Raw genomic sequence first — 12,481 nt, 5'->3', positions numbered from 1 at the left:
CAGATTCCCCTCAAAATTGCTTTGTGTTTGAATAAAAGCGCTTCTTAGCCCAGATTGGAAAAAATCATTTGGTGTTCTTGGAAGTTCAGAGCTCAGTACTATAGTTGGCCATCAAGGATGCCAAATGTGGTTTCCTGGGCAGAGCCTAGGAATGCAAAGACCCTGATGTAAAACAAAACAATTCAGGTAGAAAAGCTTTTTTCCTTGGGAGTAAAAAAAAATTTTAATGCAAATTTAATAATAATGCATTGGTGTATTTCTTAACTTTATTATATTTTAAATTCTTTTTTTCAAAATAAGATGTATCAAAATAATAGGACACACATGTACTCACAAGATTAAACAGATGTTAATATTTTGCCATATTTGTTTCATATCTCCCCTTTTTGAAAAAAGTAATAAAGCATAACAGATACAGGTAGAATACCATTCTTATTTATTTTCTCCTTCCCCAGAGGTAATCTTTTCTTCAAATATGTATCATATTTTTATTACATATATGTTTATCTGTAACATGTACTTTTATTTCGCGTGCCTTAAACTTTTATGTAAATATGTATTCCCATACTGAAGGACAGTGAAATTGCTTCTGCTTTTGCCACTATTTCCAACAATGCGGCAATAAATATTCCTCTTGTACAAAATATGGGAGCATCTCTCTCACCCAGACCACCTAGAAGTGGCATTGCTGGGCTGGACTTCCTCACCTCTACCTGTTACCAAATTGCTCTTGAAAGGAATTGTAACAAGGTGTTCTGTAAGCAGTTTATGAGTTCCTCTTTCCTGACATCCTTGTCAGCACTTATATTTATACTTTTACATTTTCACCAGTTTTGATGAGTATAAAATGTGACCATGTTGTTTTAATTTGCAGTTCTCTAATTATCAGTGAGATTGAAGTATCTTTTCACACATCTATTGCGTCTTCAGATTTTCTTCGCTGTGAGTTCTCTGCTTGTGTAATTTGCCCATCGTTCTGTTTGGTTGTTGATTTTGTTAGGTATGTATGTTGCATACCTCTTCTTGCACTTTGTAACTTGTCTGTTCATTTACATTTTTAAAGAACAACTCACACTGCTGAATTTGGTTTGCTTTTGTTGCTGTTTGTGAGGAGCTTTGCATCAGTATTTATAAGTCATATAGGCTTCAATTTTTCTCCCTTATACTGTCCTTTGTATCAAGGTGTTACATTCCTTATATGATGAATTCAGTGGCACTTTTCTTTTTTCTGTTCTCTGGAAAGCTTTGTTTGAAATGATCTCTTCCTTGAATATTTGGTGACACTCACCTGTAAAACCATCTGGGCCTAGTGTTTTTTGGTATTTGCTGATTGATTGATTGATTGGGAGGTGGTGATGGGTAGAGTTATACTACTGATCTTTTATGGTTATGGATCTAATTTACATTTATTTATTCTTGAAAATCTTTTGATGTTACTTTTACTTCTGTGAGATTGTGTATTTCATCTAGATTATTCAATTTTATATATATTGTCAAATGTTATTCCTAGTGTTTTCATACTCTGTAAATTTCTACTTTATTTGTAAGTTATGTCCCTTTTAAAATTATTGGTATTCATTTGTGCCTTATCTCTTTTCCTGATCTATCCAGTTTAGTTGATTTTGTTATTTATTTTTTTTCCACTGACTTCTTTTTTTCCTCTTTTTTTTTTTTTTTGAGACAGAGTCTTGCACTGTTGCCCGGACTGGAGTGCAATGGTGCGATCTCAGCTCACTGCAACCTCTGCCTCTCAGGTTCAAGCACTTCTCCTGCCTCAGCCTCCTGAGTAGCTGGAATTACAGGCACCCACCACCATGCCTGGCTAAGTTTTTGTATTTTTAGCAGAGACGGGGTTTCACTATGTTGGCCAGGCTGGTCCCGAACTCCTAACCTCATGATCTGCCTGCCTTGGCCTCCCAAAATGCTGGGATTACAGGCATGAGCCACTGTACCTGGCATCTTTTCTAATAATTTTACATTCTTTGGATGTACTCTGTTCATTTTCTAACTTCTCAAGGTAGCAACTCAATGCATTAATTTTCAGTCTTTTCTACTATATGCATTTAAGACTGTCCATTTTTCACTAAGATCTGTTTTAGTTGTATGTTGCACATTTGGATATGTTGTGTATTGCTCAGTTTTAACTTTCATTCTGTTATCCATTATGATTTTTAAAAAACAATTATTTAGTAAATTAAAATATTTTCAAATGTACTGGAGATTTTTGGTTTATTTTTCTATTAATTTTTAATTGTATTGCATTATACTCAGAAGATGCTCTACCTGCTATTGACTCCTTGGTATTTTTTGAGATTTGCTTTGTGGTCTCCTAATTGATAATTTAAAACAAATTAATGTTTAATGTATGTTTGAAAAAAGTGTATTTTTAAATGTTAGGTACAAGGTTATATATATTCATTAGATCAAAGTTGTTAATTTTTATAAAATCTTCTGTATTCATATTAATTTTGTCTGTTTAATTTCTTAAATCTTTGTTGACATCTCTTACGATTATGACTTTGTCATTTTCTTCAAGTTCTGTCAACGTTTGCCTTAATTATTTTGAAATTATATGGTTAGATGAATTACAGTTTATAGTGGCAATATAACTTTCCAGTGAATTGTTTCTTTAGATGTCAGATAGTGACATTAATCGCTAATAGTGCATTTCACCTTAAAGTCTGTTTGTTCTGGTATTAACTACCAGGTATACTTTTTAATATGCCGCCCTCCTTTATTTGCCTTTTGGTGCCATTATTTTTTTAAAATATGTGTAGCTGGATATAATCTAATCTGAGAGGCCTTGTCTTATCTAGTGAGCTTAATCTTGCATTTACTACAAATCATGATTTATAGTTGGTTTTATTTCCACCATCTTTGTGCTTTCTAGTTTTCATGCTTTTTTTTCTTAAAAAATTTGTCTCTGCTTTTCATGAGTTGCATTCATACTTTCTTTGGTCCTTTTTTTCTTTTTATTTTCTCTTTCTATTGGATTGAGCCAGTTTTTAAATTCTAGCTATTGTAGTACACCTCCACCCCCACCCACCCCCAGAAATTATACATTCTCTCTCTTTCCTTTTAGTATTTACTCTGCATTTGGATATCTTTATTTAAAGTCTAAAATTAGTCAATTTTTAAGTCTGATCATATGCCTTTTACCTTAAATGGTATTGTTGTCTAATGTTTTGTTTCTGTCTTTTTAAAATCTGTACTCCAAGTTGGTATTATTAGTACTGTTTTACATAGTACCTGTTTGTATTTGCTTTATTTATTTATTTGCTCACTGTTGTTTTGCTATACCTTTCTACTTTACTTTCTTTTCCTGAAATGAGTCCTTAAACTTAATTCTTCAAAATTAATATAGCAATTCTTTGAGACAAATCTAAGAATTTAATTTTTTGAACAAGGGTTTACCCATGGTAAATTCTGTCTCTTTTTGTCTGCAGTGCCTTTTGTTTGCTTTTTTCTTGTCATCATTCTTGAATGATAGTTTTTCTGGGTATGGAATACAAGGGTGGTGGTTTTTCTTAGCATTTCCAAGATGTTTTCCATTTTTTTGTTTCTCTGATTGCTTCTGAGAAATCTGCTCACAATCAGTCTAATTACTCTGTCAGTAGGTAATCTGTCCTTTCTCTGTTGTTGCTTCTGGGATCTTCTCTTTGTTTTAGGTGTTCTAAATTGCACTAGGATATGAATAGATAAGAATTTGTTTTCACTTATACTGCCGGAGGTGGGATTTGTGCATCTTAAATCTAAAGACTTATGCATTTAACTGAACCTGAAAAATTCTCAGACATTATCTCTTTAATTTTTGCCTCTGTTCCATTCTTTTAATTCTCTCCTTTTGGTTTGTCTATTTAAATGTGTGTCAAACTTCATTCTGGCCTTCCAGCCTTAGGATGTTTTAAGTTATGAAATATCACACATTCAAGCCACGCATGGTGGCACACACCTATAGTTCCAGCTATGTAGGAGGCTGAGGCAGGAGGATCTCTTGAGGCCAGGAGTGAGCTATGATTGTGCCTGTGAATGGCCACAGCATTCCAGCCTAGGCAACGTGAGACAAGAACAAGAGAGAGAGAGAAAGAAAGGAAGGAGAAAGAGAGCACACATTCAAAAGAGTTACTGTATCTATAGTTTAATAATTATGTAAAATAGGATGAATGCCTGTGATCCCAGTACCATCAGCTTAAGCAACAATATTACCTGGGGTAGTAACTCAAGGATGCAAGTGAAATCTCCATCTTACCTGCATGATTTTTGTGAGAATGCAATAAGATAAGCAAAACCACGTGGCTTAGACCTAGTAGCTGGTCGTTCTTTAAGGAGAGACACCATCAGAAATGTGGTAGATTCCAGCATTTGTTAAATTTCGGGTAATGTTTATTGAGTACTTCAAGTGCTGGGGCAGAACCAAGTTCTTTACCTTGATTGTCTCATTTAGTCCTCACATCAGCTCTTAAGGAATAAACTGTTAAACATTCTAGTTTTATAGATGAGGAACCGAGGTTGAGGGATGGAGTAATTTGGCTAGGACTTCACAGCTAGAAGATGGCAGAACCATGACTACACTCTGGGCAGTCTGGTTCTCAACCATTTATACTTCGCTGCCTGTAAATGAACTGTGTGGCTCCTTCCTGTGACACCCAGATTCTATATGATATGGTGTTCATTGGAATTTCCTTTTTTGAAGTCCTTTTTTGGTGATGCGTTTTGGAAGATCCAAACTGGGTTGCAAGGGAAAGTGGAGGAATGTGAAGAAACCTAGGCCTTAGGTCTGTAAACAGGGCCATATTCAGGCCTCAACTTAGAACTTACCTTTCCCAGAAGAAAACCTCTCCAGAGACTGTGACCCCACAAACCTGCTTGAATGTCTTCCTTCTCTGTTCCTATGTGGCACCATAATTGGCTGTTTAAATGTCTCTCTCCTCTCACTGGGCTCCACATTTAGCCAGGACAGGACTGCCTTGTTCACGTCTGTATCTCCAGCACTCAGCACAATGTCTGGTCCATAAAAGTTCACAACACATATTTGTTAATTCTTAATGATGGAGTAAATTATTGTACTAGAAGAACTAATAATGTGACAGCTTTTATTGGATATTTTATTCCAGATACTGTGGTTAATTTTTTTACTTATTTTACAGATAATTGTAATACTGAATTGTGATTTATCTAAAAGTGTTCTCTCATTTAATCCTTACGGTAATTGTGGGAGTTAATAAGTATCATTGTTAACTATTTTACAGATGACGAATGAGGTGAAGCTTAGAGAGATTACATGACTTGTCTAAAGTCACCTGTTTAATCAGTAGAGCCTGGATTTGAACCCTTACCTGTCTTATTCCAGAGCCTGTGGTCTTTACACGTTAACGTTCTGCTTTCCTGGAGATTTGCACAGTCAAGTCAAATTGGAGAAATCATAGAAATTTCTGTTCTTGAAAAATTGCTAAGAAGCCTGCTCCAGTGTTGGGATGATTTGCCATATAAGAGCAAAAACAACAAAAAATAGATTAAGCCATACATTGCAGTGGTTCCTTTCTGTGCACCTGCTCTTAAAGCATACACAGCTTCAGCGTGGACTGGCATTAAGCTATTTTAAAAAGGAAACCACTTTCATATACCCATTGTTAACAATAGCAGTTGTCTTAGTTGACACAAAATTGGTCTGATAACCCTGGTTGGTTTGCTAGATTCAAATGTGTGACATGAGCAAATTGTGGTAGCTATTTATGACCAACATTAAGCATTTTATTCTTAATCAGATGTGGAACTGGCTAATGGGTGAGGTCTAAGTTGGTGTTAACTAGATTGTCTGGCTGGCATTTCTGTTGATTGAGGATAGCAGAGAGACTGAGACATTACAATGTAGTAGGCTCTTTAGGCCCTAATGATAGCTAAAGCTTTTCTTTTTTTTTTTTTTTTAACTTTTTAAATTTCTTTTTTTTTTTCTTTTTTCTTGTTTCTTTTTTTTTTTTTTTTTTTTGAGACAGAGTCTCTCTCTGTCGCCAGGCTGGAGTGTAGTGGCACGATCTCGGCTCACTGCAACCTCTGCCTACCGGGTTCAAGCGATACTCCTGCCTCAGCCTCCCAAGTAGCTGGGACTACAGGCGCACACCACCACGACCAGCTAATTTTTGTATTTTTAGTAGAGGTGGGGTTTCACCTTGTTGGCCAGGATCTCCTGACCTCATGATCCACCTGCCTCAGCCTCCCAAAGTGCTGGGATTATAGGCGTGAGCCACCGCGCCCGGCCTTTACATTTTAATAGTGCCATTCATTTCCAGAACTGGTAATTTATATATTGGAGGATATTGTCTTATTGTATTAACATTTTGAATAATACCAAGGTTTAGGGTTTTTTTTTTTTTTTTTTTAAGCCATGGAACATCCTTTTAATTTACAATTTGGCTATTTAGAATTGTATTTTGGCAAAAAGACTTTCATATTCTCTTTTGCTATGTCTGCTAGTGCAGTTGGTTACATCTTTTTGGTTCTAGGGATTTGGATTCTTGTAATTTGATCGCATGTCCTTGGTAGTGGCTTTTTCTAGAAGTGAAAGTTGATATTGACTATACGATGTCATATCTAGAAAATTGAGAGTTTTGGGTGGAGGTAATAAATGAGAAATGGGCCTGAGAAAATGTATAACGTCTGTGGTGTTGATATTACATAATAGGTTTGTTTCTCTCTTCTTTCAGACTGGTCGAATTGACAAATCTTACCCTACAGTATGTGGCCACACAGGACCAGTGCTGGACATAGACTGGTGCCCACATAACGATCAGGTCATTGCCAGCGGTTCAGAGGACTGCACGGTCATGGTAAGCTCCCAGGGTGTTGTGTGCACACAGGCCAGTGAGACTCACCTACTGCTTTCAAAAGCATGTGTGTGGGTGTGTGTGTATGTATAGAGGCTTGAAAAGCAGAACGTTATAGCAGTTTTGACTGTCTGTTGGATTTTACAATAATTTACTACGTTTAAGTTTAATTACAGATAATCCTTTCAAGAAGCCCTTAAATCAAAAAGGTTGTACTGCAGTGTCTGCCGTGTCTTTCTTTTTCTTTTTTTTTTTTGAGATGGAGTCTTGCTCTGTCACCCAGGCTGGAGTGCAGTGGCATGATCTCGGCTCACTGTAACCTCCGCCTCCCGGGTTCAAGTGATTCTCCTGCCTCAGCCTCCCGAGTAATTGGGATTACAGGCATCTGCTACCACACCTGGCTAATTTTTGTATTTTTAATAGAGACGAGGTTTCACCATGTTGGCCAGGCTGGTCTCGAACTCCTGACCTCAAGTGATCCGCCTGCCTCGGCCTCCCAAAGTGCTGGGATTACAGTCTTTTCTGTGAGTGTGTTTGTGTATGTGCTTATTGACAGTTGACATGTTCTCTGTTGGAAGATTTTAGGGAAAGTAAAGTGACTTTTCAGTAATTCTGTAATGCCATTTGACCACATGAATTTCCCCTCGCCCCAAAAGGAGAGAAAAAACTGAAACTGCTGGCACAGACTGTACAAGACAGTGACGTAAGATGCCAAAGTTATGCAGATAAAATGGGATATGTCACAGGTGGTAAAAGAGTTTTTGCAATTGCTTGTTTCCAAGCTAATGGCAGAACTGTGTTCTGTCCAGTGGACCCTGGTTAAGAAAGTCCTTTTCATAAAGATATACAAACAAAAAACGTGAAAGGTGAATTAAGTACTTTACATTCCCTCCTTTAGTTTCCAAAAGTAGGTTATGTGTGAAACAAGGCTTTGGAATACTTTTTAATATGATTTCTTGTCCTTAGTTATGATTTTTAACTTTAAAATGTGATTATTGGTTTGGATCAGTTTTTAATGCTAGCCCAAAGTAGGCTGAAAAGGTTAGGCATAAACACAAATGGGAGTACTTGCTGCCCCTGAAATAAGGGAAGATGGTCTCTAATTAATTTGTAAGCAGTCTCGCACATGTCAGGTAGTCTCGCACGTGTCAGCATTGGAGAACCATGCTACTTTTATTTTCCTCTCTATTGGCTGTGGACTGAAACATTGTTTGGAAAGCTTTATTAATTAAAATTATTTTACATAAATACAAATTAATTCCTGAACTGTGTCATTTAAACATTTACCCGCTTTTCCTCATGGGCTTTTGGCTGGGAATGTCTCCTCCTGTGATCTCATAATTTTGGCAGCTAAAGCATATTAAGGAAATACGCTGCTGTGAAAGGGAATTGTTCTGTTTAATGTGCCTTGCTAAATTGATCATTTTAATGGCTATGGACGCATTTTGTTAAGAGAAAGGAATATCGTTTAGACCTGATGCCAGAATTTTTTTTTTTTTTTTTGGGATGGAGTCTCACTTTGTCACCCAGGTTGGAGTATAATGGCGTGATCTCAGCTCACTGCAACCTCTACCTCCCAGGTTCAAGTGATTCTCCTGCCTCAGCCTCCCGAGTAGCTGGGATTACAGCCCTGCGCCACCATGCCTGGCTAATTTTTATGTTTTTAGTAGAAACGGAGTTTCATCATGTTGGCCAGGCTGGTCTCGAACTCCTGACCTCAAGTGATCCCCCCGCCTCAGCCTCCCAAAGTGCTGGGATTACAGGCACGAGCCACTGCGCCTAACTCTGATGCCAGAATCTTAAACGGAGAGTCTGAACCTCTTTTGAAGAAGCAGGTTTGATCCATCTCTGGCTCTCCCTGTCTCTAGCATTACTGGTCACGTTATCCTTTTAAAAAAAATAGTGTGTATTATAAAACAGAAAAACACACCAAATAGTTAAGTGAAAAAGCAGACTCAGGGAGTTAAGTGATTTATGACATAGCGAACACCATGAAACCACCTTCCATGTCAAAAAGTAGAACTTTCCCAACCTCCTCAGACTTCTCCATGTGCCCCATCCCAGTCACAACATCCCTCCTCCCTCTCAAAGTAACCACTCTCCTGACTTTTGTAATACTCATTTCCTTGCCTTTCTTTGTAGTGGTAATCACTCAGGTGTATACCTCTAGACTCTAGATTGGTCTTGCCAGTTTTAAAAACTTGATATGTAGTCTTTTAAGTCTTAATCTAAAGATTCCTCCTTCATCATTTTCTTTTCCCTACAATTTATCTATTCGGAAGCCCTGACCTTTGACCTGTGCTTTTCAACCATCTGGATTTTGCTGATTGTACCCTCATGTTGCAGTTCAGCTTGCTCCTCTGTCCTCTGAATTTCCTGCAAATTGGCAGCTGGAACCTGAAGTGCGGTCAGATTCAGGTTCTGTCCTTTTGGCTAGACTATATTGTTCGCATTATGTTCTTCCATACGCTAGGAAGCACATGATGTCACAGTGTCTGGGTTTCATCCTTTTTCCATTTGTGTATTCTGTGCCTATATCCAGTCATTCACTAGGGGTTGCAATATGGTGACAGTAAATTCTGTCATTTTGTTTTCAATTTTTAGCTGGTAAAATTTTATAAGATAATGTCCTCACTTACTTACTATTTAGTTACCAAATAGTATAGTTCATTTAGGAAAGCAGGATAAGTGCTTGATTCTTTCCTTTTATTTACCTAGTTCTCAAGATAATGAATTGATTCTCTGTCATCCTCAGAAGGTGACAAATTAGGGTTTTTTTTTCCCCGTTCCTTTCATTTTGAAGTCATGGATTTGAACATATTTGATGGGTTCAATCCATTATAATTCTTATCTCAAAGCCGACTTTCTCGCCTTTTCCCATTGAAACCTCTTCAAGATTTCTGAGTCCTTTTGAAATGACCATCATAGTCTTTGAGTCTTTGATAGATAGATTCCTTGCTATGTGATATGTTGAGGTGTTTCAGGCTCACTTTGGACATCCCTGCCCAAGCCATTTCTTTCGGAAGTCCTGGTTTATTTTAAGGGAAAATTATATCTATTAAGTATGCAGTAGCATTATGTATATATATATATACATTTAAAAATACTGTATTACCAAAGAGAGTGTAATCTTTTTGCTGTGGAGGGTTTCCCCTCAGTGTTGATGGCTGCTGACTGATGAGGGTGGTGGTTGCTGAAGGTTGGGCTGGATGAGACCACGACAATAAAGTTTGTCATACTGATTGACTTGGCCTCTCACAAAAGCTTTCTCTGTAGCATGTGATGCTGTTTGATAGCATTTTACCTGCCATAGAACTTCTTTCAAAATTGGAGTCAGTCCTCTCAAACCCTTTTGCTGCCTTATCAACTAAGTTTATGTAAGTAATATTCTAAATGTTTTGTTGTCATTTCAACAGTGTTCACAGCGTCGTTACCAGGAGTACATTCCATCTCAAGAGACCATTTTCTTTGCTTATCCATAAGGAACAACTCCTCATCTGTTCAAGTTTTATCATGAGATTGCAGCAATTCACTCACATCTTGAGGCTCCACTTTTTATTCTCTAGTTCTCTATTTCCACCATATCTACAGTTACTTCTTCCACCAAAGTCTTGAACTCCTCAAATGTTGATATTTAGAACTCCTTCCACGAATCATGAATTTTCTTAATGTCACCTAAAATGGTGAATCCTTTCCAGAAGGTTTTTTTTTTTTTTTTTTTTAAATTGAGACGGAGTCTCGCTCTGTCGCCCAGGCTGGAGCGCAGTGGTACGATCTCGGCTCACTGCAACCTCCGCCTCCTGGGTTCAAGCGATTCTCCTGCCTCAGCCCTCCGAGTAGCTGGGACTACAGTCATGTGCCACCATGCCCGGCTAATTTTTTGTATTTTTAATAGAGATGGAGTTTCACCATGTTAGCCAGGATGGTCTCCATCTCCTGATCTCGCGATCCGCCCGCCTTGGCCTCCCAAAGGTGTGAGCCACCGTGCCCAGCCCAGAAGGTTTTTAATTCACTTTGCCCAGATCCATCAGGGGAATCACTATCAGTGGTAGCTGTAGCCTTATGAAATGTATTTCTTAAATAATAAGATTTGAAAGTCAAAATGATTCCTTGTTCCAAGGGCTGCAGAATTGATGTTAGCAGGTGAAAACAACGTTAATCTCCTTGTACATTTTCATCAGAGGTCTTGGGTGATAAGGTGCATTGTTGGTGAGCAGTAATATTTTGTAAGGAATCTTTTTTTTTCCTGATCGGTGGTTCTCAATGGTGGGCTTAAAATATTCAGTAAACCATGCAGTAAACAGATGTGCTGTCATTCATGCTTTGTTTTTCCATTTCTAGAACATAGAGTAGATTTAGCATAATTATTTATTTATTTATTTTTTATTTTATTATTATTATACTTTAAGTTTTAGGGTACATGTGCACAATGTGCAGGTTAGTTACATATGTATACATGTGCCATGCTGGTGTGCTGCACCCATTAACTCATCATTTAGCATTAGGTATATCTCCTAATGATTTAGCATAATTCTTAAGGGCCCTAGGATTTTTGGTGCGGTAAATGAGCATTGGCGTCAACTTAAAGTCACCAGCTGCGTGAGCCTCTAACAAGACAGGCAGCTCATCTTTTGAAGCTTTGAAGCCAGGCATTGACTTCTCCTCTCTAGCCATGAAAGTTCTAGATGGCATCTTCTTTCAGTAAAAGGCTGTTTCATCTACACTGAAAATGTGTTGTTTAGTGTAGCCACCTTCATCAATGATCTTATCCAGACCTTCCGGATAACTTGCTGCAGCTTCTCCATCAGCACTTGCTGCTTTCCCTTGTACTTTTATATAATGGAGATGGCGTCTTTCGTTAACCTCATGAACTAACCTCTGCTAGTTTCCAACTTTTCTTCTGCAGCTTCTTCACCTCTGTCAGCCTCCATGGAATTGAAGAGAGTTAGGACTTTGCTCTGGATTAGGCTTTGGCTTAAGGGAATCTTGTGGCTGGTTTGTATTTCTATCCAGACCACTAAAACAAGGCTGTTTTTGCTTTTTTATCATTCATGTGTTCACTGGAGTAGCACTTTTAATTTCCTGAACTTTTCTTTTGCATTCACAACTTGGCTAACTGGCTTAAGAGGCGCTTAGCTTTTGGCCTGTTTCAGCTTTCAACATGGCTTCCTCACTAAGCTTAATCATTTCTAATTTTTTATTTAAAGTGAGAAATGTGCAACTCTTCCTTTCACCCAAACACTTAAAGGTCATTTAGGGTTATTAATTGGCCTAATTTCAATGTTGTTATGTCTCAGATAATAGGGAGGCCCAAGGAGAGGAAGAGACAGGAATACAGGAAGAGCAGGTGGTGGAGCAATGAGAAAACACACAGCGTTTATCGATGAAGTTCACTGTCTTATATGAGTGCAGTTCATAGTGCCCCGAAACAATTACAGTAGTAACATCAGACATTACTGATCACTGTAACAGATACAGTAATAACAAAAAAGTTTGAAATCCTGCAAGAATTGCCAAAATGTGACACAGAGACAGTGAACATACGCTGTTGGAAAAATGGTGCAGATAGACTTGCCTTAGGGTTGATAAAAAGCTTCAATTTGTTTAAAAAAAAAAACAAAACAAAAACACCACCACAATATCTGTGAAGTGCAATAAAA

General features: G+C 37.7%; 1 protein-coding gene across 3 annotated transcripts in view; it reads left to right on the top strand.

Moving 5' to 3' along the window:
- CORO1C (coronin 1C) overlaps nt 1-12,481 on the top strand; it is an 86,410-nt gene that overhangs the window by 46,423 nt on the left and 27,506 nt on the right. For all 3 annotated transcript variants that reach the window (NM_014325.4, NM_001276471.2, NM_001105237.2), the window contains exon 3: nt 6,702-6,824. In NM_014325.4, coding sequence (NP_055140.1) covers nt 6,702-6,824 — 123 coding nt within the window. The remainder of the gene's footprint in view (nt 1-6,701; nt 6,825-12,481) is intronic.

This window comes from Homo sapiens, chromosome 12 (genome assembly GCF_000001405.40).
Source record: "Homo sapiens chromosome 12, GRCh38.p14 Primary Assembly".
NCBI lineage: Eukaryota > Metazoa > Chordata > Mammalia > Primates > Hominidae > Homo > Homo sapiens.
This window is presented reverse-complemented; position numbering and strand designations above follow the sequence as displayed.